Source organism: Homo sapiens, chromosome X (genome assembly GCF_000001405.40).
Source record: "Homo sapiens chromosome X, GRCh38.p14 Primary Assembly".
Lineage (NCBI taxonomy): Eukaryota > Metazoa > Chordata > Mammalia > Primates > Hominidae > Homo > Homo sapiens.
The window spans coordinates 102,376,458-102,404,122 of record NC_000023.11 but is presented as its reverse complement, the minus strand read 5'-3'; the positions used below and the strand labels follow the sequence as shown (position 1 = coordinate 102,404,122).

Genomic DNA, 27,665 nt, shown 5'->3' with positions numbered 1-27,665 from the left:
TCCGTCTGGTCCAGGCCTTTGGTTGGTAGGTCTTTTTTATTACTGATTCAAGTTTGAAACTCGTTATTGGTCTGTCCAGGGATTCAGTTTCATCCTGGTTCAATCTTGGGAGGTTGTATGCTCCCAGGAATTTATCGATTTCCTCTGGGTTTTCTAGATTATGTGCATACAGGTGTTCATAATAGTCGCTGAGGATTTTTGTTGTTGTTGCTGCATTTCTGTGGGGTCCGCAGTAATGTCACCTTTGTCATTTCTGATGGTGTTTATTTGGGCCTTCTCTCTCTTTCTTTCTTTTCCTTGTTTGTCTAGCTAGCAGTTTGTCGAGCTTATTTATTTTTTCAAAGGACCTTTGGTTCCTTTGGTTTCTTTGACCTTTTGTAGGGTGGTTCACATCTCAACTTCTTTCAGTTCAGCTCTAATATTTGTTATTTCTTTTCTTCTGCTAGCTCTGGGGTCACTTTGCTCTTGTTTCTCTAGTTCCTCTAGGTGCGATGTTAGATTGCTAATGTGAGATCTGTCTGACTTTTTCCATGTAGGCACTTAGCACCATAAACTTTCCTCTTAACACTGTTTTAGCTGTGCCCCCAGAGATTCTGGTATGTTGTACCTTTGTTTTCAATAGCTTCAAAGAATTTTTTTGAATTCTGCCCAAATTTTGCTCTTTACTCAAAAGTCATTCAGGAGCAGGTTGTTTAATTTCCATACAATTGTTTGGTTTTGAGACATCTTCTTGGTATTAATCTCTATTTTCATTGCACTGTGGTCCGAGAGTGTGGCTGGTAATGATTTCAGGTTTGTTTTTGAATTTTTTGAGAATTGCTTTACGGCCAAACATGTAGTCGACCTTATAATATAATTGATTGGTTTTGAAAGATCTATATATAATTGTTTGCCTCTGAGAGATCTTCCTGCTACAGATGTCTATTTTTATTGCACTGCGGTCTGAGAGTGTGGCTGGTATGATTCCGGGTTTGTTTCTGAATTTTTTGAGAATTGCTTTATGGCTGAGCATGTGGTCGACCTTAGAGTATGTGCCCTGTGCAGATGAGAAGAATGTATATTGTGTTGTTGTTTCGTGCGATGTTCTGTGGATATCTGTTAGGTCAATTCTGTCAAGTGTTGAGTTTATGTCCCGAATATCTTTGTTAGTTTTCTGCCCCAGTGATCTAGCACTGTCAGTGGGGTGTTGAAGCCTCCCACTATGATTGTGTGGTTATTTAAGTTTCTTTGTAGGTCTCTAAGTGATTGTTTTGTGAATCTGCGTGCTCCAGTGTTGGGTGCATATATATTAAGGATAGTTAAGTCTTCTTGTTGAATTGAACCCTTTATCATTATGCAGTGCCCTTCTTTGTCCTTTCTGATCATTGTGGGTTTAAAGTCTGTTTCGTCTGAAATAAGAACAGCAACCTCTGCTCTTTTCTGTTTTCCATTTGCTTGATAGATCTTTCTCCATCCCTTTACTTTGAGCCTATGATGGGTGTCATTGCATGTGAGATGGGTCTCTTAAAGACGGCATGCAGTTGGGTCTTGCTTCTTTATCCAACTTGCCACTCTCTGCCTTTTAAGTGGGGGCGTTTAGCCCATTTACATTCAAGGTTAATATTGATATGTGAGGATTTGATCCTGTCACTGTGCCGTTAGCTGGTTGTTATGTAGACGTGATTATATAGTTGCTTGGTAGTGTCAGTGGGCTGTGTACTTAAGTGTGTTTCTGTGGTGACAGGCAACGACCTTTTGTTTCCATGTTTAGCGCTCCCTTAAGGACCTCTGGTAATGCAGATCTGGGGGCAATGAGTTCCCTTAGCATTTGCTTGTCTGAAAAGGATTTTATTTCTGCTTTTCTTATGAAGCCTAGTTTGGTTAGATATGAAATTCCCAGTTGGAATTTCTTTTCTTTAAGGATGCTGACTATTGGCTCCCAATCTCTTCTGACTTGTAAGAGTTCTGCTGAAAGGTTTGCTGTTAGCCTGATGGGGTTCCCTTTGTATGTGACCTGCCCCTTCTCTCTGGCTGCTTTTAGTGGTTTTCCTTTCACCTTGACCTTGGAGAATCTTATGACTATGCATCTTGGGGATGGTCATCTTCTGTAGCATCTCACTGGGGTTATCTGACTCTCCTGAATTTGCCTCTCTACCTGTCTAGCGAGGTTGGGGAAATGTCTGTGGGCAATATCCTCAAATATGTTTTCCAAGTTGCTTGCTCTCTCCCTCTCTTTGTGGGACACCAATGAGTCATAGGTTTGGTCTCTTCACATAATCTCATATTTCTTGGAGGTTTTGTTCATTTTTGTTAATTCTTTTTTTCCTTGTTTTAGTCTGATTGATCTGATTCAAACAACTGGACATCAGGATCTGAGATTATTTCCTCAGGTTGTTCTAGCCTGCTGTTAATACTTCTGATTGTATTATGAAATTCTTGTAGTGAGTTTTTTAGCTCAAGCAGGTCAGTTTGGTTCTTTCTTAAAATGGCCATTTAATCTTTCACCTCTTGTATTGTTTTATTGGATTCCTTATATTCCTTGGCTGCCATGTCAACTTTCTCGTGAATCTCAATGATCTTTGTTGCCATCCAGATTCTAAATTTTATGTCTATCATTTCAGCCACATAGGTCTGGTTAAGAACCATTACTGCAGAGCTAGTGTGGCCATTTGGAGACAAGAAGACACTCTGGCTTTTAGCATTAACAGAGTTCTTGGGCTGGTTCTTCCTCATCTGTGTGGGCTGACGTTCCTTTAATGTTTGAGGTTGCTGTCCTGTGGATGGGCCTTTTTGCTTTTACATTCTTTGATGAACTTGAGGTTTTGATGTGGTATAAGTCAATTTAGTCAATTGGCTTCATTTCTGGATGATTTTGGGGAACCAAGACACAGCTCAGCGCTCCTGGGCTGCATGCTCTACCCCTGGGGGCTGGGACGTGTCCATGGTTTTTTTTGTTTGTTTGTTTTTGTTTTTTTTTTTTTTTCTGGACTCTGAAGGTTTACTGCCTGCTCTTCTGGAGGGGCTGAGGTGTTCCCATTCCGCTGGCAACAGCACTCTGATGGGATGTTCCGGCCAAAGTACTTCCGTGGGGCAGCGGTAGGGCAGCAAGGGCCCCCAAATGCATGGGCTCACCAGCGAAGCAGTGCAGGAAGGCTATGAGTGAGAGTGCATCGGTGGAGGAGGGCTGCGGGAGGGTGCACTTGTCTGCAGGGGACCACCTGCAGAAGATCCCCAACTGCTAGGCAGCATCTGCCAGTGAAAGAGCTATGGTGGTGGCTGCTGGCAAATGCCTCATCTGGGAAGCTGAGGCTGCGCTGCAAGCGGGTGTGGCCAGGCAGGGACGCTGGGATAGGCCAGCAGACAGCGGGACACTCAGATCAGACTGACCCTATCCCATGGCCAAGATTGCCCTGCTGCGTCCAGGTCCAGCAGCCAGCAAACACTAAAGCCACAGAGAGGAGTGTGGTGAGGCTTGGGGTTGGGTGCCCATGGCCATGCTTCAGTGCAGCTTTTCCCATGCTAAACCCTCTGGACTCCATGCAGGCAAGATTTCTATCTCTGCCAGCTCTCCCGGCAATTCTCCCTGCAATCTCAAATGTCTGTGGGGGTCATGGGGTCTCCTGCAGCTTGGATTCCAGAGGTCCATGGCGAGAATGAGCCACTCTATGCTTGTTTTACTCGCCCCTTCCCCAGGAGTCACTCAGGCCCCAAAATGAGTCCTGGTCCTCAGCAACCTGATGCAGGGTTCCCAGCTTCCTCCCCTTTCAGCTCAGGGTCTGTGTCCTTCCTCCATCCATTTTCAATGCCTTCTTTCCAAAGATCTGTTTGGAATGTGCTGGTCTTCTTGATGATCGGGTCTCTTATTGGGAGGAGTTCTTCCTGTCTGCATCTGGTCAGCCATCTTTGCCCCAAAGCCTTCAGTAATTTTTAAATCTGAGAATGTGTTAATTTTCCCCTTCATTTTTGAAGGATGGTTTTGCTGGATATGTAATTCCTGCTTGACAGGTTTCTCCTTTTTTAGAACTTTGAATATATCGCCTACTGCTTGAGGACTACATATCTCTTATGAGATACAGTCTCCTTACTAGTTATAGTAAGGAGTTATCAGTAATAGGAATTATCAGTAATCAAAACCTTCCAACAAAGTCAAGTCTTGGGCCAGATGACTTCATTGGTGAATTCTACCAAACATTTAAAGAAGAATTACCACCATTCCTTCTAAATCTCTTCCAAAAAATTGAAGAAGAGGGAACACTTCCTAACTCATTCCATAAGGCCAATGTTAGTTACCATGATACCAAAGTCTGCCAAAGCCACAACAAGAAAGCTACAAAGCAATATCCCTTATGAATACCAGTGTTCAGAATCCTAGATGAAACGCTAGCAGGCAGAACCTTGCAGTATATTGAAAGGATTACACACCCATGACTGAATGGGAATAATTGCTGAAATGCAAAGATGATTCAACACATGAAAATAAACCCATGCACTATATTAACAGACTGATGATAAAAGACCGCATCACCATGTCAACTGATGCAGAAAAAGCACCTAACAAAATCCAACATGGTTTTATAATAAAAACCCTCAACAGATTAGGAAGAGAAGGATACTTCCTTAGCGTGACATAAACCATATATGGAAATACCTATAGCTAACGTCATACTCAATGGAAAAGACTGAAAGGTTTTCCCCTAAGATCGGGAACAGGACAAGGATGCCTGCTTTTGTCACTTCTAACTCAACATACTATTGAAAGCTCTAGACAGAGTAATTAGGCAAGAGTAAGAAATAGAAGGCATCTAAGATGGAAAAGAAGAAGTTATCCCCTGTCACAGACGACATGATCTTCTATGTAGAAAACCCTAGAGATTCCACAAAAAAAGCTGTTAGGGCTAATAAATGAATTTGTCAAAGTTGCAAGATAGAAAATCAACACACCATAACCAGTTGCATTTGTGTACACTGACAATCAACAGTCCAAGAATAATTAAGAAAATAATTACATTTACAATAGCACGAAAAGAATAGAATACTCAGGAGTAGACGTAATCAAGACATTTACCTTGAGAACTACAACACTGCTTGAAGAAATTAAAGAAGACATAAATAAGTGGAAAGATGTCCTGTGTTCATGGGTTGTGGTTAATTTTGCGAAAAAGTCTTTCCTGCTCTGAGGACATAAACTTAGGCACTCTCGTAATTGTTCTAACATTTTTTAAAATTTCAATAGTTTGGGGGCATACAGGTGGATTTTGATTACGTGGATAAGTTCTTCAGTGGTGATTCCTGAGATTTTGGTGCACCCGTAACCTGAGCAGTGTACACTGTACCCAATAGATAGTCTTCTTTTATCCCTCACCCTCTTTCCACCTTTCCCTCCGAGTCCCCTAAGTCCATCATGTCATTCCTATGCCTTTGCACCCTCATAGGTTAGCTCCCACTTATAAGTGAGCGCATACGATATTAGGATTTCCATTCCTGAGTTACTTCACTTACAGTAGTGGCTTTCAGCTCCATCCAAGTTGCTGCAGAGGCCATTATTTCGTTCCACTTTATGGCTGAGTAGTATTCTGTGGTGTATATATGCCACATCTTCTTTATCCACTCGTTGATTGATGGGCAATAAGGTTGCTTCCATATTTTTGCAATTGTGAAATATGCTGCTATAAACATGCATGTGCTTGAGTCTTTTTGATATAATGACTTGTCTTCTTTTGGGTAGATACCCGGTAGGGGGATTGCTGGATCGAATGGTAGTTTTACTTTTAGTTCTCTAAGGAATCTCCATACCGTTTCCCAGAATGGTTGTACTAGTTTGCATTCCCACCAGCAGTGTAAAAGTGTTCCCTTTTCACCACATCCACTCCAACATCTATTATTTTTTGACTTTTTAATTATGGCCATTCTTGCCGGAGTAAGGTGGTATCTCATTGTGGTTTTAATGAGCATGTCCCTGATAATTAGTGACGGTGAGCATTTTTTTTCATATGTTTGTTGGCTGGTTGTATATCTTTCTTTTCTTTTTTTTTTTTTTTTTTGAGAATTGTCTATTCATGTCCTTTGCCCACTTTTGGATGGGATTTTGCTTTTTTCTTGCCGATTTTTATTGAGTTTCTTGTAGATTCTGGATATTAGTCCTTTGTTGGATGCAGGGTTTGTGAATGTTTTCTCCCACTCTGTGGGTTGTCTGTTTACTCTTCTGAGTATTTCCTTTGCCGTGCAGAAGCTTTTTAGTTTAATTAGGTCCCACTTGCTTATTTTTGTTTTTGGTGCATTTGCTTTTGAGTTCGTAGGAACGAGTTCTTGTAAATTTGTTTGAGTTCATTGTAGATTCTGGATATTAGCCCTTTGTCAGATGAGTAGATTGCAAAAATTTCCTCCCATTCTGTAGGTTGCCTGTTCACTCTGACGGTAGTTTCTTTTGCTGTGCAGAAGCTCTTTAGTTTAATTAGATCCCATTTGTCAATTTTGGCTTTTGTTGCCATTGCTTTTGGTGTTTTAGACATGAAGTCCTTGCCGATGCCTATGTCCTGAATGGCATTGCCTAGGTTTTCTTCTAGGGTTTTTATAGTTTTAGGTCTAACATTTAAGTCTTCAATCCATCTTGAATTAATTTTTGTATAAGGTGTAAGGAAGGAATCCAGTTTCAGCTTTCTACATATGGCTAGCCAGTTTTCCCAGCACCATTTCCAAAATAGGGAATCCTTTCCCCATTTCTTGTTTTTGTCAGGTTTGTGAGAGATCAGATAGTTGTAGATATGTGGCATTATTTCTGAGGGCTCTGTTGTGTTCCGTTGGTCTATATCTCTGTTTTGGTGCCAGTACCATGCTGTTTTGGTTACTGTAGCCTTGTAGTACAGTTTGAAGTCAGGTAGCGTGATGCCTCCAGCTTTGTTCTTTTGGCTTAGGATTGACTTGGCGATGCGGGCTCTTTTTTGGTTCCATATGAACTTTACAGTAGTTTTTTCCAATTCTGTGAAGAAAGTCATTGGTAGCTCGATGGGGATGGCGTTGAATCTATAAATTACCTTGGGCAGTATGGCCAAAACAACCCCATCAACAAGTGGGCGAAAGATATGAACAGACACTTCTCAAAAGAAGACATTTATGCAGCCAAAAGACACATGAAAAAATGCTCATCACTGGCCATCAGAGAAATGCAAATCAAAACCACAATGAGATACCATCTCACACCAGTTAGAATGGCGATCATTAAAAAGTCAGGAATAACAGGTGCTGGAGAGGATGTGAAGAAATAGGAACACTTTTACACTGTTGGTGGGACTGTAAACTAGTTCAACCATTGTGGAAGTCAGTGTGGCGATTCCTCAGGGATCTAGAACTAGAAATACCATTTGACCCAGCCATCCCATTACTGGGTATATACCCAAAGGACTATAAATCATGCTGCTATAAAGACACATGCACATGTATGTTTATTGCGGCACTATTCACAATAGCAAAGACGTGGAACCAACCCAAACGTCCAACAATGATAGACTGGATTAAGAAAATGTGGCACATATACACCATGGAATACTATGCAGCCATAAAAAAGGATGAGTTCATGTCCTTTGTAGGGACATGGATGAAGCTGGAAACCATCATTCTCAGCAAACTATCGCAAGGACAAAAAACCAAACACCGCATGTTCTCGCTCATAGGTGGGAATTGAACAATGAGAACACATGGACACAGGAAGGGGAACATCACACACCGGGGCCTGTTGTGGGGTGGGGGGACGGGGGAGGGATAGCATTAGGAGATATACCTAATGTTAAATGACGAGTTAAGGGGTGCAGCACACCAACATGGCACATGTATACATATGTAACGAACCTGCACGTTGTGCACATGTACCCTGAAACTTAAAGTATAAAAAAAAAAGGAATGAATTCATTACCTAAGCCAATGTCTGCAAGAGTTTTTCGATGGTATCTTCTAGAATTTTTGTGGTTTCAGGTCTTAGATTTAAGTCTTTGATCTATCTTGAGAGTTGATTTTTGTAATAAGGTGAGAGATGAGGATCCAGTTTCATTCTTCTGCATGTGGCTTGCCAGTTTTACCAGCACCGTTTATTGAATAGGGTGCCCTTTCCTCGCTTTATGTTTTTGTATGCTTTGTCAAAGATCGGTTGGCTGTCAGTATTTGGCTTCATTTCTGAGTTCTTTATTCTGCTCCATTGGTCTACATACCTGTTTTTATGCCAGTACCATGCTGCTTTGGTAACTATAGCCTTGTGGTATAATTTGAAGCCAGGTAATGTGATGCCTCCTGATTTGTTCTTTTTGCTTAGTATTGTGTTGATTATGCGGGCTCTCTTTTGGTTCCACGTGAATTTGAGGATATATTTTTTTTCTAGTTCTGTGAAGAATGATCATGGTACTTTGATTGGAATTGCATTGAATTTGTAGATCGCTTTGGGCAGTATGGTCATTTTCACCATATTGATTCCACCCATCCATGAGCATGGGATGTGCTTCCATTTGTTTTTGTCATTGATGATTTCTTTCAGCAGTGTTTTGTTGTTTTTCATTTAGAGACCTTTCACCTCCTTCTTTTTCCACTAAGGTTTCTTTTTTTTTTTTTAATTTCTGGAATTTATATTGTGTATGGAGTGAGATAGCAATCTCCTCTCTAAAAAATGGGTATAACCAATGGATCCAGCACTATATATTGAATAGCCTGTCTTTTCTTCAGCTAACCTTCAATGGCAAACCTCTCATGCCACGTTTTCCTATATTTAATGGGCTCTCTATCCTATCAATTGTATTGGCCTAGATGTCATATAAGTGAACTATCTTAACTATCTTAATTATTAAAACTTGATATCTTGTAAGCCATGTCCCTTCTGATCCCCTCTACTTTGTTTTAATATTCTTGGATATTAAGCGCCCTTGGTCCTTCAGTATGCATTCTAGAGTCATAGAGTCTATTGTTCCGTAGAAAGCTGTGTTGGATTTTTTATTGGAATCACGTCAAATATACAGGTTAAGTGGAGAAAACCGTCATCTTTATCATAGGGATTCTTCCATGAGCATGCTTTATATCTGCCTAATTTGGAACTAATAGCTCTCGATAACATTTGATAATTTTCTCATTTAAAGTCTGAAGCATCTTTGTTAGACTTATTTCCATGTACCTTACTATTTTGTGGCAGTTATAATTGGTGTTCATTGAAGAGTTGTTTTTCCTCTAAGTGGTTGTTGCTGGTTTGTAGGAATACAGTTGATTTTCTTCTTAGCTGTAATTAATGCTGAGAGTTTGTAGATTATCTCAGGTTTTTCCATACAGGTAAATAATATATTGTCTATATAGATATGATCGTTTGGGTGTTTTTAATTCCAATCATTATATCTTTTATTTATTGCACTGGCTAGAACCGCCACTGTTGAGCAGAAATGACAATATTGAGCAACCTTGTCCTGTTCTTGATTTTTAAGGACAATCCATGTAAATCTTCACCAGTGTGCACAGCTGTTGGTGCAGATTATTTTGTAGATATGTGTTTTCCATCTGTTTTTTCCCAGTTTGGCAAGAATTGTGTTTTGGTTTGTTTTTGTGTGTTCCGTGAACAGGCACTGGATTTTATCAAATGATTTTACCCTGTCCATTAAAATGATAGCCCAATCTTGTTTCTTTCCATTAATGGGATGATTTACATTAACATTCCTTTCTAATGTTAAGGCATTTTTACACTGCTGTGATACACCAAACTTGTTCTGGTTTATTATCATTTCTGTGCGTCACTTAAGTCTGCAGTATTTAATTTAGCATTTAGCTTGAATTATAAATTTCCTTTCTCCTATTATACTTACCTCATTTTAGAGTCAAGATTATCCTCATAAAATATACTTGGGAGTGTAAGCTTTTATCTTGGTCTTTGGTGAAGTTTGTATGAACTTGGAATTAATTATCTACTCCTTGAATGTTTAGTGGAATTTTCCCCGTGTTCCTGGTAGTTTTCTTGACGTTGTTTTTTTTTTTTTTGAACTAAAGATCTATTTTTTTTAATGTCAACTTTTATTTTTAGATAGAATGGTTACACATACAGGTTTGTTACATGGGAATATTGTGTGATGCTGAGGTTTGGGGTGTGGATCCCATCACCCAGGTTTTGAGCATAGTATCCAATAAATAGGTTTTCAACCCATATCCCCTCCCTGCCCCCTCGAGTAGTCCACAGTAATTTCTTTAATCGTTGTTAAGTCTAGTCAAGTTTTCTATTTCTTCTATAGTTAGTTTAGGCAGGATATGTTTCTCTTTCAAAATTTCTACGTTGTCTAGGCATTAATTTATATCAGTATGAAATTGTTTTTGGTATTATCTTGTTTATTGTTTATGTCTAATCATATTCTGCTTGTTAATTTTTAATATTGTTCCTTTGTGTTCTCTCTCTCTCTCCTCCTGTCCACTGCTCTTCATCTTTCTCCCTTCACCAGTATTGCCAACGTTGGCTGTTTCGTCAGTCTTTTCAGAAACCAACTTTTGGTTTGGTTGATTTTGTTGATTCTCTCTATTGTACTTTTCTTTCTCTCTTTCTTTCCATATATATATATATATATATATATATATATATATATATATATATATTTAGTTTTGTTTGTTTTTTTTTTTTTGTTTTGTTTTTTGAGACAGAGTCTCACTCTGTCACCCAGGCTAGAGTGCAGTGGCGCCATCTTGGCTCACTACAACCTCCGCCTCCCTGGTTCAAGCGATTCTCCTGCCTCAGCTTCCTGAGTAGCTGGGATTACCTGCGCGTGACACCACGCCTGGCTAATTTTTGTATTTTTAGTAGAGACGGAGTTTCACCACGTTGGTCAGGCTGGTCTCGAACTCCTGACCCCGTGATCCGCCCGCCTCAGCCTCCCAAAGTGCTGAGATTACCATGCCCGGCCTCTATTGTACTTTTCTTTTATACCTCATTGCTTTCTCGCCTCATATTATTTTTTCTTTTTATTTTTCTGCTTTTCTTTTGCTCTTCTTTCAAGCATGGATATGACTCTACACAGCTGCACCCAGGGGTGACCTTTAAAGACAGTGCAGAGAAAAGTATCTCCCTGTTGTGGGGTGGGGGGACGGGGGAGGGATAGCATTAGGAGATATACCTAATGTTAAATGACGAGTTAATGGGTGCAGCACACCAACATGGCACATGTATACATATGTAACAAACCTGCACGTTGTGCACATGTACCCTAAAACTTAAAGGATTAAAAAAAAAAAAAAGAAGTCTGTTGAAAAGATACACTATGGACCTTGGGCTCAAAGACCTACGGTAGGAAGCTCTGAGTAGGATGTGAGAAAAATCAATGTGACAGTGAAAAACAATTATTATGTACAACTCTTTTATATTCTAAAGAAGGGGGTTAAGAATAAAGATCCTTGATGTGCTGATCAGGGTGATGAGTCTGAGGATTCAGTCATCAGAATCTCACAGAGATAAATGGCTCCACAGAGAAAAGAGATTTGAAGGGAATGATACTGTTCAGGAAGAACAGGAGCTGATGCCCATCCATCTCATGAGGGTATGAGGAAGAGAGGCAAGATAGTCTAACGCAGACTGTTTGGTGACATTTCACTGGGACACGTGCCATTGAATCTCCCCCGTTTGTCCCCATGAAGACGTCTACAAATGCGCATTGAATGTTTTGGTAATCAGATTTATCATTGGTTTGGGGGTGGGGGGTGAATTTCAGCATCTACTGTCAAGCGGGGCAAGAGCAAAGGTAGCTCTTGGCGCCCTAATAGTACTCTGCTTCAATAAGTTAGCTGTGGTCATTGCAAATTATGTCAGCAGAAGTTGAGTGGTTAAACATGGGCTTTACCTTCAGAGAAACGGAACAATTCTGAAAAAGAAGAAAAGAGAGAAGATCCAAACTTGCCACAGGCACATGCAGCAGGTTCTCCAGTCCTCTTTAGAGTGGTTTAGCTGTTTAAAAACATTGGGTGGGTTCTGGCACGTGCCTAGTGTTTTCCACTCTTACCCTGTTTATGCACCTCTGTCCTGCTTCCTTGATCAGCTGCCCACCAGTCCTGAGATTCTCCCAACATGGATCACTTCTCAGTCATTGAGAAGGGAATATGAGAGGAGGTCTAGATCATTATGTTCTTATTTGGCAGTTTAATTGTTAAAAGGAACATTCACCAATATACTCCCACCTCGACACCCACAGAACGTAAAAATAAACTGTTGTAGGATGTGGTACAGTGGCTCTTACAGGGTATACTAGAGAAGAATGAGGATGTGAAGAAAACTGGGGTTCACATTGAGCCTGGGGTGGAAATCCTGGCTGTTCAGGGTGGTGGAAAGTGTAGGGCTGATTGCCATTCCTATGATGCCTTCCTTGAATCCTCCGGTAAGTATCCACATCTTCTAGTCTCTGACTTCGACCATATTTATCACCTCTAATACCAGAGTTCTGAAGTTTGTTTCTTGCTGGATTAGTTTCTGTGGTCTTCTAAGGACTTATGACCTATACGTCTGTTTTATAGCCTATAAAATTTTGCTAACATATTTTTCTTGGTGTGGTGTCGTTGTCTGGTACCTTCTGATTTTTTGTCCCGCTTTGCACCCCCCGCCCCCCCCCACTTCATTATTAGGGGTTTTCTGGTGGGAGCATAAAAAGCATTTGCACTCAGTATTCCTGAAGTAATCAGAAGTAAATTGATAGATTCTCTAATGTTCCACTACCCTTTCATTCCTGGAACGAACGCTTTTTTAATAGACATATACTAGTTAAGTTTAGTAATAATTAATTTAGAAGTTTTGCATCTGTAATTATATATACTATAATTTTTACTGCTCGTACTGTCCTTTTTGAACTTTCAGTGTCTAATTTTACCAGCCTCATGATAGAGACTTTAAAAATAATCTCATTGACTTTACTGACAAATGTCTTATTATGTCTGAAATATAATGGATCTAGAACCTGAAAAAATTAGTTAATGAAATGCACTGAAATGAATGGAAAGTAGGATACTCTTCTATGGTTTTTAAAAATTGAGGCATTTACTGAGTCATATAGTGGCCCCCGCCAAATTCCTGTCCACCCTGAACCTGTAAATGTGGCCGTATTTGGAAATAGTGTTTTTTCAGACGCAGTCACATTAAGATGAGATCATATTGAACCAGGCAGGGTAGGCCCTAACTCCAATATGACTGCTGTCCCTATAAATAGAGGTAGATTTGGACAAGGAGACACAGACACATAGGGGAGTCGCGTGGAGACAGAGACAGAGACTGGAGTAAGGCATTACAAACCAAGGAGTGACAAGGAGTACCAGCATCCACCAGGAACTAGGAGAGCTAAGAAAGGCTTCTTCCGTCAGATGGAGCATGGCCCTGCTGACATCTTGATTTTGTACTTCTAGCCCCCAGAACTGTGTGAGAATAAATTTATCTTGCTTTTAGCCACCCAGTTTGGGTATTTTGTTATGGCAGCCCTAAGAAACTAATGCAGATTTTAGTGCTAAGACGTGGGTTGTTCCTGTCACAAATGCCTAAAAATATGGAAGTGGCTTTGTAATTGGGTAATGACTAGAGGCTGGAAGACTTGAGGCACATGATATGAAAACCCTAGATTGCCTTGAAGAGACCGTTGGTAGAAATATGAATGCTAAAGGTGATTCTTGTGAGAGCTCCAGAAGGAAGTGAGAAGAGTTGTAGAGGAAGTGCTTATCATCTTAGAGAACACGTGTATCATTATGAACAGAATGATGCTAGAAATATGAATATTCAAGCTGCTTATGATGCCGTCTGAGATGGAAATTAGACACATGTTAATGAGCACTGGAGGAAAGGTGACCCTTGTGATAGAGTGTCAGAAAACTTGAATGAATTGTGTAGAAAGCAGGTCTTGTAAGCGACGAACTTGGATATTTAGCTAGGAGATTTCCATGCAAACTCTGGAAGGTGTGGCCTTGTCTCTTTATAGTAAAACGTGAGAGTAAAGAGATAAGTTGAGGAAGGAACTGTTAAGCCAAAAGGAAGCACGCTTGATGATTTGGAAAATTCACAGTCTACCCAGATAGTGCACTATGGAAACAGGGCCAAAAGTGTGGCTGAACAGCCATTTGCTAATGAGACTAGCTAGGCATGTGGACCCAACCAACCACCTTGGCCCTAAGCCAGGAAACCAGATAGGTTAATCCAGGAAGGACCCACACAGAGCCTACATATCTAGTTGTGTGGATCCCCTTGGCATCTGCAAAAACATGGCAAGGATTTTGAGAGTTTTATACTAGCAGAAACGCTGCCAGCCTGGACTGAAATGTCCAGAGATGGGACAAAAATGAAAGAAGAATGTCTCTGAAGGCAGAAACATGGAAGACCAGACCAGAAATGGCATTGTCATTACCCTGGAGGGCTGGATGGACTGAGTCCCTGACCCAGAAAGCCAGGAAGATGGGGCTGCCTCCCTGGAGGGTCCTAAAGTTTGGGGCTGCCTCCCTGAAGGGCCCTTGGGACAGAAGATTGAGCCATGGAAGTTTACTCTTGGCCTGAAACTTAATGGACTTTTTTCCTGCTGGGTTGTGAACCTGCCCCAGAGCGACAACCCCTTTAATCTTTCCACCTTCTCCCTTTTGTGAAGGGGACGTCTAACCTACGTCCGTCCCACTGTAGTATTCTGGAAGTAGATAACTTGTTTTCTAGCTTCATGGGTCTGCAGACAGAGAGGAACATTGCCCCAGGGTGGACCTTGCCCAAAGTCTACTCGGTAAGATCCTGACAATTTTAGATGAGATTTTGGATTTAGGGTTAATGCTGGAATAGGTGAAGATCTGGAGGATTTGGAGATGGGGTGAATATAATTTACTCACGGTAAGAATGTAAATATTGGGGAGCCAGAGGGCAGACTCTATTGGGTTGAATAGTGCGTGCACCCCCCTCCCCAAATTTATGTCTACCTGGAATCTGTGAAGGTGATTTTAATTGGAAGCAAGGTCTCTGTAGATGTAATCAAGTGACGATAAAGTCACACTGGACTAGGGTGTGCCCTAATCCAATGACTGGTATCTTTATAAGAAGAGGAAAATTGGGACAAAGAGACAGACACACAGGGAGAATACCATGTGACAACCGAGGCAGAGATTAGGGTTAAGCTGCCACAAGCCAAGGAATGCCAAGGATTGCCAGCAACCACCAGAAGCTAAGAGAGATGTGTGGTACAGATTCTCTCTTTAACTGCCACCCTCACCACAAGGTACCAATCTTTCTGACACCTTGATTTCAAACGTTTGGCCAATAGAAATGTGAGAGTTTAAAATTCTGTTGTTTCAAGCCACCCGTTTATGGAAATTTGTTATAGCAGCCTGAAGAAACGAATACAGCACTTGAGTCCTGTTTAGCAAGGATCAAGCTAGAGCTCTTTGGTCACTGTGTCTAGCCTGGTGAACATCAGTGGCTGCTTGGGGCAGCCATATGGACATTATTTGTGATTGTGCATCCCTGAGATGGGCCTGGGGATGAGCCCTTGTGAGTTATGCAAAAAAAAAAAAAAAAAAAAAAAAGGAAGGACCCCAGCACCCCAGGGAGACTTAAGCATGGCACCAAGTTGCCTAACAGTCATTGTTTTTCAGGCATGGGTACCACAGTTGCTGCCGTAGCATGCATTCTCCTTACCCTCAAGCGTATTCATGTGCATAGCCATGGCAGCCGGTGTCCCAGGGACTGATGATTAAATAAAGAGGGTGGTGGAGGAGGAGCGTTTGGCACTCAGCTGCTCCCACAGTGCTAAACCACTTAGCCCTTATTCTATGCAGAGCTATATCTAAGTTTATTTAATTCTCACGCCAAATTGAGGATCATGATGGAAAATTTTGTCTATAGCTAAATAGAAAGCTGAAACTAAGAAAGGTCAAGTATCATGAAGTAAAAGAGAGGTTCTATTAGTAATAGCAAAAACTTGGACTTCAAGCACTGTGTTCCTTTCATTTGTTTTTAAATTTTATTTATTTTTTAATTAGACAAAATTGTATATATTTACGGGGTACAATGTGGTATTTTGATAAGTGTATACATTTAGAAAGACTAACTCAAGCTAATTAATATATCCATCATCTCACCTACTTATCACATTTTGTGTTAAGAATATCTAAAATCTACTTTTAAAGCAATATTGAAATATATGATACGTTGTTATTAACTCTGCTCACTATGCTGTGCAATTGATCACCAAAACATATTCCTCCTGTCTAACTGTGCTCCAGTCCCAAATCCTCAGCAGTAAAATGCCCCTGTCTCTCCTCAGTGAAACCACTCTTGATTAATAAAGTAGTCTTAGTGTAGTCTTACCTGGGGCTTAGTTGTCCCAGATCTTTCCTGCCATCCACCAGAACCTCTTTGCCTGTAGAGAGTCCTCTGAACTTGAGAAGCTGCAGGATTATGAAAGCCCAGCATGTCATACACTTGCCTGCTCATTGCTCCTTCTCTCACCTTGGCTCTCTTGTCTCTCATAGCAATGTCATCTCAATATCGGGCATCATGAACATAACTCTTCCGGCCTGTCACAGAAATGAAGCAAATAAACTGATGGAAAAAAAACCATAAAGAAACCCACAATACCAGCCACAAGTCAAACCATTTAAAACTGTTACTTTTGTATTAGTATCAGACAAAATAGACGTTAAGACAACAATAATTATTTGGAATAAAGAAGGCCACCATGTAGTCATGATAGAACATTTATCAAAGAGCTAAAAAGTCTGAACTTAACATGCACTCAAAAACATAGCCAAGAAATACATAAAGCACGATGTTCAGAGTTACAAGAAGGTTGCCACAATAAAATATAAAAGTGCACTATTTTAGAGTTGGGGCAGTTCCAAGAAGTAGCAAGATCCAGGGAGTGCCCCTGAGCATGGCAGTCAAATAAGAGGTCTTGCGACCATGAGGCTTGGAATCAGACTGGTTTTCTACATGGACATTGAAATCACCCAGGACTGTGACAAGATTAGGTGTAGAAACTCTGAATGAGACATAAAAATCTTTGACCAAAAGACCAATACGTTGGTTTTATTTTAGAAAGCCATCTTTGTAAGATGCCCAGGATGGCCATAAAATTGAATGTGTATTGGTCAGGGATATTTAAACTACAACTAACAGAAAGTGCAAGTCTCGCTGGCTTATCCAATAGGTAAAGACACTTGCTTATATAACTGAGAGTTCAGAGGCAGAGTGAGTTTCATGGTTAACTGAGCCAGTAACGGAAAGATGTAAACATCCAGGCTAAATCTTGACCCAACCACTGCTGGATTGGGCATTGGATTATTGGATTAGATTAGACTAATTCTGGGCCCACTCTTGGAGCTAAGAAAGTGGCCATATATCCTCAAGCACATGACTCTACTGGGAGGAGATACACTGATGGAGGCCTGAGCCCAGCCAGGAAGGTGAGGAATGTATATTGTGTAGGTAAACAAAAATGTCACCTGCAGGTACAGACTCAAATTATATATACCGCTATGAGCATAGTAACCACAATATTCAAGTCCTTCTTGTGTCCTAATAGAGTGACTCTTCGGGTAACAAAGACGGATATTTTATTCAGGAGCTACCTATATTGAATTCATGAATAGGCGGTTACAAAGCATGAGAGCTCTCCCCTGTGCAGTATATGTTTTGGAAGAACCTCAACAGGCATCCACTGTGGGATGCTTAAATCCCATTTTCATTCTTTTTCGATTCGTCGGCAAAGTTTTCTATTCGCTCTTGTCCTGAGATGATGTTGTGTTAGGATTATTTGACCAGAGGTAACTGAATTCTTCGTATTTACCGTTAAGTTTTGTCTTTCTGTAAACACGCGACACAGACTTCACAAAGATATCAAAGATCCTCAGATTTCAGTATGGAACAACCTTAAAAGCCCTGGGTCTTTAGAAGAAAGTCAGACTCAGCCAGGCGCGGTGGCTCACGCCTGTAATCCCAACACTTTGGGAGGCCAAGGCGGGCTGATCACGAGGTCAGGAGATCGAGACCATCCTGGCTAACGTGGTGAAACCCTATCTCTACTAAAAATACAAAAAAATTAGGGCTTGGTGGCACGCGCTTGTAGTCCCAGCTACTCAGGAGGCTGAGGCAGGAGAATCACTTGAACCCGGGAGGCGGAGGTTGCAGTGAGCCAAGATCGCACCACTGCACTCCAGCCTGGGCAACAGAGCGAGAGTCCGTCTCAAGGAGAGAAAAAAGAAGAGAGTCAGACTCCTATAATGTACCAAAATTAAAGAACAACCTTTTCCTCTAATGCACACATTTATTCACGCTTTGAAAAGAATATGTTTCCATAACAATACCAAATATGCATATGAAAAGAAAATTAAAAATAAGATAATCACCCAATCTGCGAATATGCAGATTTGAAAATTAATTATCAATATATAAATGGAAGCTCTTAATAAAGACGTTGTAGTATCACATAGACAAGATATGTAATGTGTTATTGCTCATGTTTTGCCTTAGTCTGCATCTACACTGTGAAATGAGCTTAATCGTGTTCACTGGTTCATTATTTGCTAACTCCTTGATTGACTTAGCCAGTTGAGCAATCCAGCCAGTGAGTCATTCTATAACTGTTGATAAACTACGTGATGTTTTAAATCCAAGGATTAAAAGAAAACACAAACATTATATATCTTGCCTTTTTTCACAGGATCTAATCACTGATAATAAATTATCAGTGATAAGCTGATCACAAGAAACAAGGTATAAATGCTGCATACACTAAAAAGAAAACAATGTGGCTGACTATGTTTTAAAAATTATCTGACAGTATTTTCCAACAGAGTATTTAGAACTATTTCTTGAATTGCAAAATATAGTTGCCTTGAGCAGATAACAGGAAGCAATCTGGGAAATTTAAAATTCTCTACTTTTAATACATTAGAAATCTTTGAATCATAATTGCTCATTGTTTTAAATGGTCTTCACAGTGGAGGGGGTTTGGACCAGAGAGCTGCATCTTCACAAATGGCACTGCTCTTCAGTAAACACCCTCTATGGAATCCCTACCTTTTCACTCCTCTCCATCCTTTGCCTGAAGGAAGTTTTCCTTGTAGACATAATTTTGTATTTGTATGTTGTGGTAGTCCTCAAAGAGTGAGCCTATTACCTAGAGCTGTTGAATTTTACCTTGCATTGAGGGGTTGGCATATTGAGCAATTTGCCAGGGAGCACTATCTGCAACTGCTTCTCTTTTTTTCCTATTGCTTGGCACTGACATAAAGTTACTTCTAGCTACGCTAATGAATTTCACGAAGGAACACAGAAAAACAGGTCTTGAATGTAATGCCCGTAATGATAGAGTCCCATCTTATGCTTTCCCTTGTATGCTGTTGCTAGGTCAGTCATTTTTACTTTCTGAAAGTTAATTTACATAGGACACCTAGTTCAGGTGTATGTATCTGTTCAAACCAAAAGCGTTAGAGTATTTATGTTTAATTTAACAACGTCGCAACCGTTCTGATACTTAGGGGAGTTCTGAGTAAGTAAGTTCTAGAAAGGGGAGTTCCAGTACTCCCCTTTCTCTCTTTTCTGTGTTAGGTAAAGCCACCCCTCCTAAAGCCACTAGCATGGATCCCCAAAATGTCCACCACAGAACGAAAAGGTAAAAGAAGGAGAAGTTGTTCCTGTTAAATCCTGCCGTATCACACGCAAGAGAAATGGCTTATCAACCTGCCTCACCCCAGTAAACACAGCGCCTAATAAATTCAGTGCCTAAACTGGACCCCGGACATATGAATCTTTGTCCACAGAGTTACCTTCCCCCACTGTTTGTGCATATTAGAGCACCGACAGACTTCCATTGGTGTAACTTAAAAAAAAAAAAATCCTAACAAAGTCCTGATAATCATCTCAGAGAAAGAGTGAATGATATGAGTATCAGGTCTGACAGGAGCAAACTGTGAATTAAAGTAAGAGTTATAATTAGGATTTGTCTTTTGGTGAAAGAATTTGACCATCATCAATACCGTGTAAGTTCCAGTTGAGCATAGGTGGGCTAGATAAAATTGTGCTGTGCCTTTTACTGGTGATCTGTTCATCTGTATGTAATGATAGAAACGGGGGCCAGGGCAGATACCAGGTCTTGAAGTAGGCTTCCATCCTGTGACTTTGTATAGATACTTCCTAAATCCAACTTGAAATTTCATAATAGGCTCTTTCATAAATATGTAGCCCCATTTTATATCCTCTATTTACATGTGTCCCATAAATAATTCTCCAGAATTATCCGAGACCCACTGATTGGCGCTTCCTAGTCATTCATTCCAATTATCATGACTTCAGTCTACGGCCATACCACCGTGAACGCGCCCAATATCGTCCAAATATCATGACTTCCTTTGATAACCTTAGAGCCACTAACACAGCCTGTTGTCCTCACTAGTATATTCAACTTTAACTGTGGTGGAAAATTTGGTCTGTTGAGTTTTCTTCTGCTTATTTATGTAGCCAGGCCACAGTGCGGGAACCTAGCAAAGTAATCCCAATGCTTGTATAGCATTGTTTGCCTCTGCAAGCAAATCAGAAAGACTCCACTCCACCAAATTTATTTTGGACATGCAGGTGAAGCTGCAGTTTCCCACACAAACCAGCAAAACAGGTGGTCGTGAAATTGCGATTAACAACAACTGCAATGTGTACTCTCCTTCTCTTTTCTCTATCCTTTCTGGGGAGACACAGGCAGAATAAAAATACAGTGAAATCTAATTATAATTCAGATTCCACTCATACAAAATTGTTGCAGTTCAGGCCAGAGCCAGGTATGATGTTTTAAAAGTGCTAATCTTTCTCTTTTCAGTAATTTTTTTAAAGAAGGAAATGTTTTCAGCTAACCTCAAACATTTTATACTGACTTTCATATATACATATTTTATATATTAATGGTAGGTTTATATGTATACATTTAAATGAATCTCCTGAGGTCCTTAATTAGATTCAGCATTGACTGGTGCTAATTACTGACAGTACTTGAAATTTCTTAGTTGGTATTTCAAAGAGAACATCCAAGACCTCAACTCTTCAGTAACTGGGTCTGGCTTCCAGTTTGTGTGAATTAATAAGGCTGAACTAAAATTAATTTCCTTTGGAAAACCCGGGGGTGGTCAGAACAGTCTAGCACCATACTGCCTGGGGGAGACAGCTGGTTTGCCACCTGCAATGTCTGTGACCTCTTAGGCAAGTGATTTAACGCCTCTGTGCTTCAGTTTCCTCGTCTGTAAAATTCTGTTATACTACCTACTCCATAGAGTTAGCACTCTTAAATGCGGTAACCTTTTGGAGTGTGTGGCACATACTAATCACTATACACATTTTCTTTTTCAAATGAACAACTAAAATTCATTAGGTTTGCCCTAATTTCCTTTGGCCCTGTATGAAATTAAGTAAACAGTGCTTACCTGTACGGACTGCTTAGGCTCTTGCAGTAGTGTCTATGATTATGGTTTTAGTGAGGACCTTCTTCATTGTGAAGTATTAAATTTCACGTGTTGTTAGAAATGAAACACATAAAATATATTAAAGAGGGATGGGGGGCCGGGAGCGGTGGCTCATGCTGTAATCCCAGCACTTTGGGAGGCCAAGGCGGGCAGATCACCTGAGGTCAGGAGTTCGAGACCAGCCTGGCCAACATGGTGAAACCCCGTCTCTACTAAAAAAATACAAAAATTAGCTGGGCGTGGTGGTGGGCGCCTGCAATCCCAGCTACTTGGGAGGCTGAGGCAGGAGAATCGCTTGAACCGGGAGGCGGAGGTTGCAGTGAGCTGAAATCATGCCATTGCACTCCAGCCTGGGCAACAAGAGCAAAACTCCGTCTCAAAAAAAAAAAAAAAAAAAAAAAGTGAGGTGAGGGTAGCAAAAGCTCAAGTCTGTGTGCTGTGGGAGGTTATCTGGAGGTACCACCATCTCAGTAATATGGGCAATCTCAGAGCTCCAGGTCTCATGAACAGAACGGTCTCCTGAAACATGCAGATCAGGAGAACTCTGCAGTGGTTGGATTCTACTGTCAGGAAGTTGACCCAAGCTCACCCACCTATCCTGGGTACTTGAGCCTTGCAGGATCCTAAGGCTGCAAGCCACGTGGATGCCACCATCATGTGAACACTACAATTATGAGCCCTACTGATAGGGCCCTACTGGTCATATCAGCACCAAGGGCTCTAAAACTTTGAGGTCATGTGGCCTCTCTTGTCATGTTGCTCCTATGGTCATGTGATGGGCCCAGCTCTTCCAGTCACTACAGTATGGTGGACTCCTGAACCCTGTTGCTCACATGGATTCTTCCCTCACCTGGCCATTACTGGCTACCAGCATGTGGAAGTCTCAGCCCTCGAAGTCATATAGATGACCTACTGTTTAGGGTCATGTGGATGCTATGGTCATGTCCACTGCTCCCACTCACCCCTCCCCATGGCCACAGTGTTAGGCTCATTCCTCTCTGTCACGTGAAGATTGTGAGCTGCCAAACTCTGCAGATGTGTGTGTGGGCAGCCAAGTGGCTCCTGTCATCTCGTGGCAGGCAAAGCCTTTGCGGTCCTGTGAGCACCGCAGCTAACCAATGGCTGTTGTACATGTGGCTCTTATGGTCACGTGAGATTCCGCACCCTCCCATTCACGTGAAGATTGAGTGCTCCGAATCCTGTCAGAGAGGTGCTTCCGGCTCCACACCCTGACTCAGGCGGAAGTTTTATTGGACTTCGGCTCAGATCTGAAGCCTTCCGGCAACTTTCATATCCTGACGCGCTGGAAGGAAGTCTGGTACGAGTGGAACCAGCCGGTACTAGAAGTTTACTGAGAATTGGGCTTTAAGGCGTGGCTGAGCAATCTCCAAATAGCAGAGGCTCTGAGGGGGTGGGGTGGGGTGGGGTGGGTGGGGGGTGCCGGGGGTGCGGGAGGGTGGGGGGTGCGGGAGGTGCGGGAGGGTGGGGGGGTGGGGAGGGTGGGGGGTGCGGGAGGGTCGGGGTGTATGGGGGGTTTGGGTGGAGGTAGCGGAGGACTTCCCTAATGTGGCCGAACTTGTGAACACCTGGCAGAGAAACTGTGTGTGCGTGCGTGTGTGTGTGTGCGTGCGCACCCATGCATCTATGTCTGCCATCCGCCTTGATCCTGGACTCACAGGAGCTGTTGTTGGAGGAGAAGGCACTGGGGCAGAATGTGGGGCTGGGGGATAGGGGTAGGGTTGGTAGTGGGGCGGCAGGGATTCATGAACTCGTAAGTCGTTTCTCAGGGGCAGGGCTGTGGAAGCCTGATGGGATTCCCCCCCCTTCCCGCCCCCACACTAAAAGCCCTACCCTTGCCTGTCACTCTGCCCGATTCACCGTCTGTGCCAGGTGATTCTGTCCTCTGCCCCTCCTCAGACCATGTTGTTATTAAGGACACTCGAGACTGCCTAGATCCCAGTTTGTATAGACGATTCCAGACCCAATCTTAATTTCTGTCTCTTATTTGATTATGTAAAGATTCTCTTTGTTTCCATGATTTATTTTTCTACTAAACCTTCTAAACATGGGCTCAGGGGGGTGGGCGAAAGGGAGAGAGGGGAATCGGGAATTTTTTTAAAAAGAGAATTTGATATTTCAATAAAAGTGTCCAAGTCGTCATGATGTGAAGATTCAGAATTTACTTGTTATACTTTATTTGAACTCCATTGGCTTTAAAAAGTACATTTGGGAGTGGGTGACATTTTTTTTGTGTGTGTGTGCGCTTAGGATCTCTCAGTAGCTTATAGTAGTATAGCTTCACACTCTTTTGTTTCTGATTCTCCCCCCATCAACCCCTGATTTTCTAATGATTGCTTCTTAGATTCCTTTCTGAAAACTCTCTCCTTTTCTTCCTGTGGAAAAAAGTATAGTGAATGGATTTAAGGTACAATCATGGGTGATAACATTTGGTACATCATGAAAGCGGTATTGGGTGAATGAAGTTGAGCAAATAGCAAGATTGTGCTTAAACTTACGGGGTTTCAAATATTGCTTGTCAGATGGTTAGAGAATATTGTCACTTGTGATATTTGATATTACATGTAGGTTGAATAATCTATTTTTCTCTCATTTCAGCATTTCCAAGTTCGTTCTGTGAGACTGTAGTGTCAGGACAAAGCAACAACAAAATGTGCTCTACTCTAAAGAAGTGTGGGACATACAGAACTGAAGGTAAACGAATACTGTAGGATTTTTTTAGATGATATGCTAATAAACAACACGAGTCTCAAAGGGGGGGCTACTTTCCCCAACTTGTATGGGAATGGAACATTTTTTTCCACAGAGCATTTGAGGTACCAGTGTTCTTCAGAAAATATTTGGGGAAACCCTGTTCAGACTACATCTTCTAACACTTTAAAACCTTGTGCCTTTGTTTACTCAGAACAATGGAATGTGGGTTTATAATAGTTGTAATCTAGTCTGCTCATTAAGACATTGATTGTTGCTCTTTAATTCATTTTATCTCATGTCATCAGTCAGTCTCTCCTGCTTGAATCTTTGTACTTTTTTACTCTTCAGAGATACCGCCAAGCATGCATCTGATACCATGGTGGTGGCAGACAATATGTGCATAAATGCAAGTCATTAGGAAGCCTTACCTGTGGCAGCAAATAAAGTGCCCCCACTCTTGAAAACAAGATACAACTTACCTGTCAGGACAAGCAGATGCAGTACCGCTCATTTTACACAATAAAAAACCACACTTCTTCAGAACCATTTTATTATTACTTAATAATTACAGCTGCCATAGTTTGAGCCCCTGTCATATGTCAAGCACTGTGATAACCTCGGCTGTCATGCAAGTTACTGCATTTAACCCTCAGGAAAGTCCTGAGAGGGTGTTATCTTAATTGACAGATGAGATATATGAGTCAGGAGAGGCTGAGTGTAACGCTGTGCTTATAGGCAACCCCCAAACCTCAGTGACTTATTTCTCACTCCTGCTGCATGTTTATGCCAGGTGCATATCCTTCACGGGATGGTGGATGTTGGGTTCTGAGCCATTCTTATTGGAATGACTCAGAGACCCAAACTAATGGAGCAGCCACCATCTAGAAAGGGGTTACTCACTGCGTCAGAGTGGGAGAGAGCCGTAGAGGGTCTCAAACCAACAACCAAAGGTTCTGACCCAGAAATAACCCGTGTCACTCGTCACTCACAACCCATTGGCCAGAGCTAGTCACATGCACGGCCCTGCCCCAAGGAAGGCAGTCGGGTCGGGCAGTCCTACCAGGTGCCTGGTACAGGGGAGAATGTAAACACTTGGTAAATGGCAGCACTGACTACTGCATGAAGGAATCAAAGCTGGGAGGGATTAAGTACTTGCCTAACATCACATCGGCCGTAAGTGACAGAATCAGGATTTGAATCCACCCAGGCGTGATTTCAAAGTCGATGTCCTTTCTGCTTCTTTCTACGCTGCCTGCTCTTCTCTTAAAGGAAGCTTATAGTAAAAATTCTTTTACATCAATGATGCAATGCCCTCTTCCTTAATCATCTGATAGTTTAATTGAATAGACACGATGGCACTGGTTAAAAAGACCAGCACTGATAAGCCAGAGGTCTTTTCCAAATGAGGGAATGTATTGGATATTTGAATATCCATTGTATTCAATTATAAAAATAAAACCAGGTGGTAGATGAAAGGACTTTTCATTGATCATTTACTTAATGTGGAATAATCCCCATGTCTTACCGCTATGTTGAGGAAAAATGATAAAAAAATAGAGCCTACCTTGATGAAAGTGAAAACACCATGTGAGAGAGTTGAACAAAATTGCTAGATGTCAGTGTTTCAGAAGCGCAGGATAATGATAAAATCTCTGGCCACACGGGCAGAGAAAATTAGCGAGGTGGTGCGGGTCAGCCACTTTTGGAATGAAGATAGTGTCACACTTACAGTGACAGAAAAGATTGAAAAAGATCACATTATGAAAAGGATGTGAAAATTTGAAAATTTAGATTAAATAGATGAATTCCAGGGGAAAAATATATATAACTTTCCAAACTGAAGGAATAGAAAACCTTGGTTTATTCAATGTATTCTTGACAAGGAATACATGCAAAGGCAAAATTACTAGCCAACCCGAATTAGTTACATAAACGCAAATAATATAAATCAATTAATAGCAAACTAAACCCAACAATGGGTAAAGCAGATAATACAGCATGACGAGGTTGTGTTTAATCCCAAGCATGCAAGCTGAGTTTAACATTTTAAGAGATCCATAATGTAATCTAACACATTAGCTGAATAAAGGGAGGAGGACAGGACAAATACCACAAAAGATCCAGTTAAAAAAAAAAGTATGCAATAAATTAACCAACCGGGATTGAACAACAACAATACCAATAATTCTCAGCAGATCGGTAATATAGAAAGCTATCTCTTTAAACTGACAATGGGTATCAAAACAATAGACCCCATCAGACACCACCCTTAATAGTAAAACATTAGAAGTATTCTCCTTACAATCAGAAAAGGGATAAAGATGACTGGTATGACGAATTCTGTTCAATGTCGTACTGAGTCTAGTGCAGTAAGCCATATGTCATACTAGGCAGTGCGGTAAGCTGTGATACATGCATGCCTACATACATAAATTAATACGTGTATAAAAGTGAAAAAGCTGTCAACGTGACTATCTTCATATGAAACTCAAGAGAAGCTACAGAAAATTAAAAATAATAATGGAGATTAACAAGTTTGTTGGCTATAAGACGAACATACACAAACCATTGTAACAAAGAAAATACCATCATTATTGTAAATATACCATTTACAACAGAAAACATGTCTTGTGAAATATACGATGAATCTGCTTACTTGGCAACTATTCCAGCACTCTTAAACATTCTTATATGCTTTCCTGTACTGTAGAGACTAGAAAGTTGGAACATGAAAGGAAACACACATGCACATGACCCCACGCATGTGCGCACACACTCTCTTTCTCTCTCTCTCTCGCTCTCTCTCTCTCACACACACACACACACACACACACACACACACACAAATACACTCTCACACACATACAATTTACCAGAGTCCCTTGCAGTTAGGGTCTCAAATGGGATATTTATCGCATCAAGCGTATGTGCCAACATGAGACTCAGAGGTGGAACTGAATAACATGGGAGCCATATGTGGGGTGGACTACCTGTGATGAGGGAGGTCTCCAGTTTTCATGCGGCAGCCATTGCAGAGTTTCTAGAATTCAGTCTCTGTCATGCATGTCAATTAACGGGCAGGCAGCAGTGGTATTTCAGCTGTAGCAGTTCCATCACGTGGGTGGACTTCTCCTGGCTGTGCAGCATCCAGGCCTGCTTTTCTGGCCCTCACAGAGTTTTTGTAAGCTATGTAATATATTTTATTAGAGATATCTTGTTTGTATAAAAGAGCTAGAGTGAATTCTGGCATAGGCAAGTTGGGACCTTGATTAACAGAGTACTTGGCAGCAAAATTGGTTGCAAGCAAAAGACCTTGAAGGAAATGGGGATCTGGGGTAGATTTGGCCCACAGGGCATAGTTGCTGACCTCTAAGCTAATAAGTTGCTGACCTCTAAGCTAATAGACTCACTGGGTCCCCAAAACAGTGCTGAGTGGGAAGTCAGCAAAATGAGGAGGCAGCTATTGCTAGGATCCTCTGGCAAGCATAAGCCAAAAACTGAGGCTTTAACACGGTTGTTTTCAACCTTGGTTGCAC

General features: G+C 41.3%; 1 protein-coding gene across 1 annotated transcript in view; it reads left to right on the top strand.

Annotated features, from left to right (window-relative positions):
- NXF2B (nuclear RNA export factor 2B) overlaps window positions 1-27,665 on the top strand; it is a 79,614-nt gene that overhangs the window by 35,886 nt on the left and 16,063 nt on the right. Inside the window, exon 3 of the mRNA NM_001099686.3 lies at window positions 24,034-24,129. Within this exon, the coding sequence (NP_001093156.1) occupies window positions 24,087-24,129 (43 nt within the window). The 5' untranslated portion in view covers window positions 24,034-24,086. The remainder of the gene's footprint in view (window positions 1-24,033; window positions 24,130-27,665) is intronic.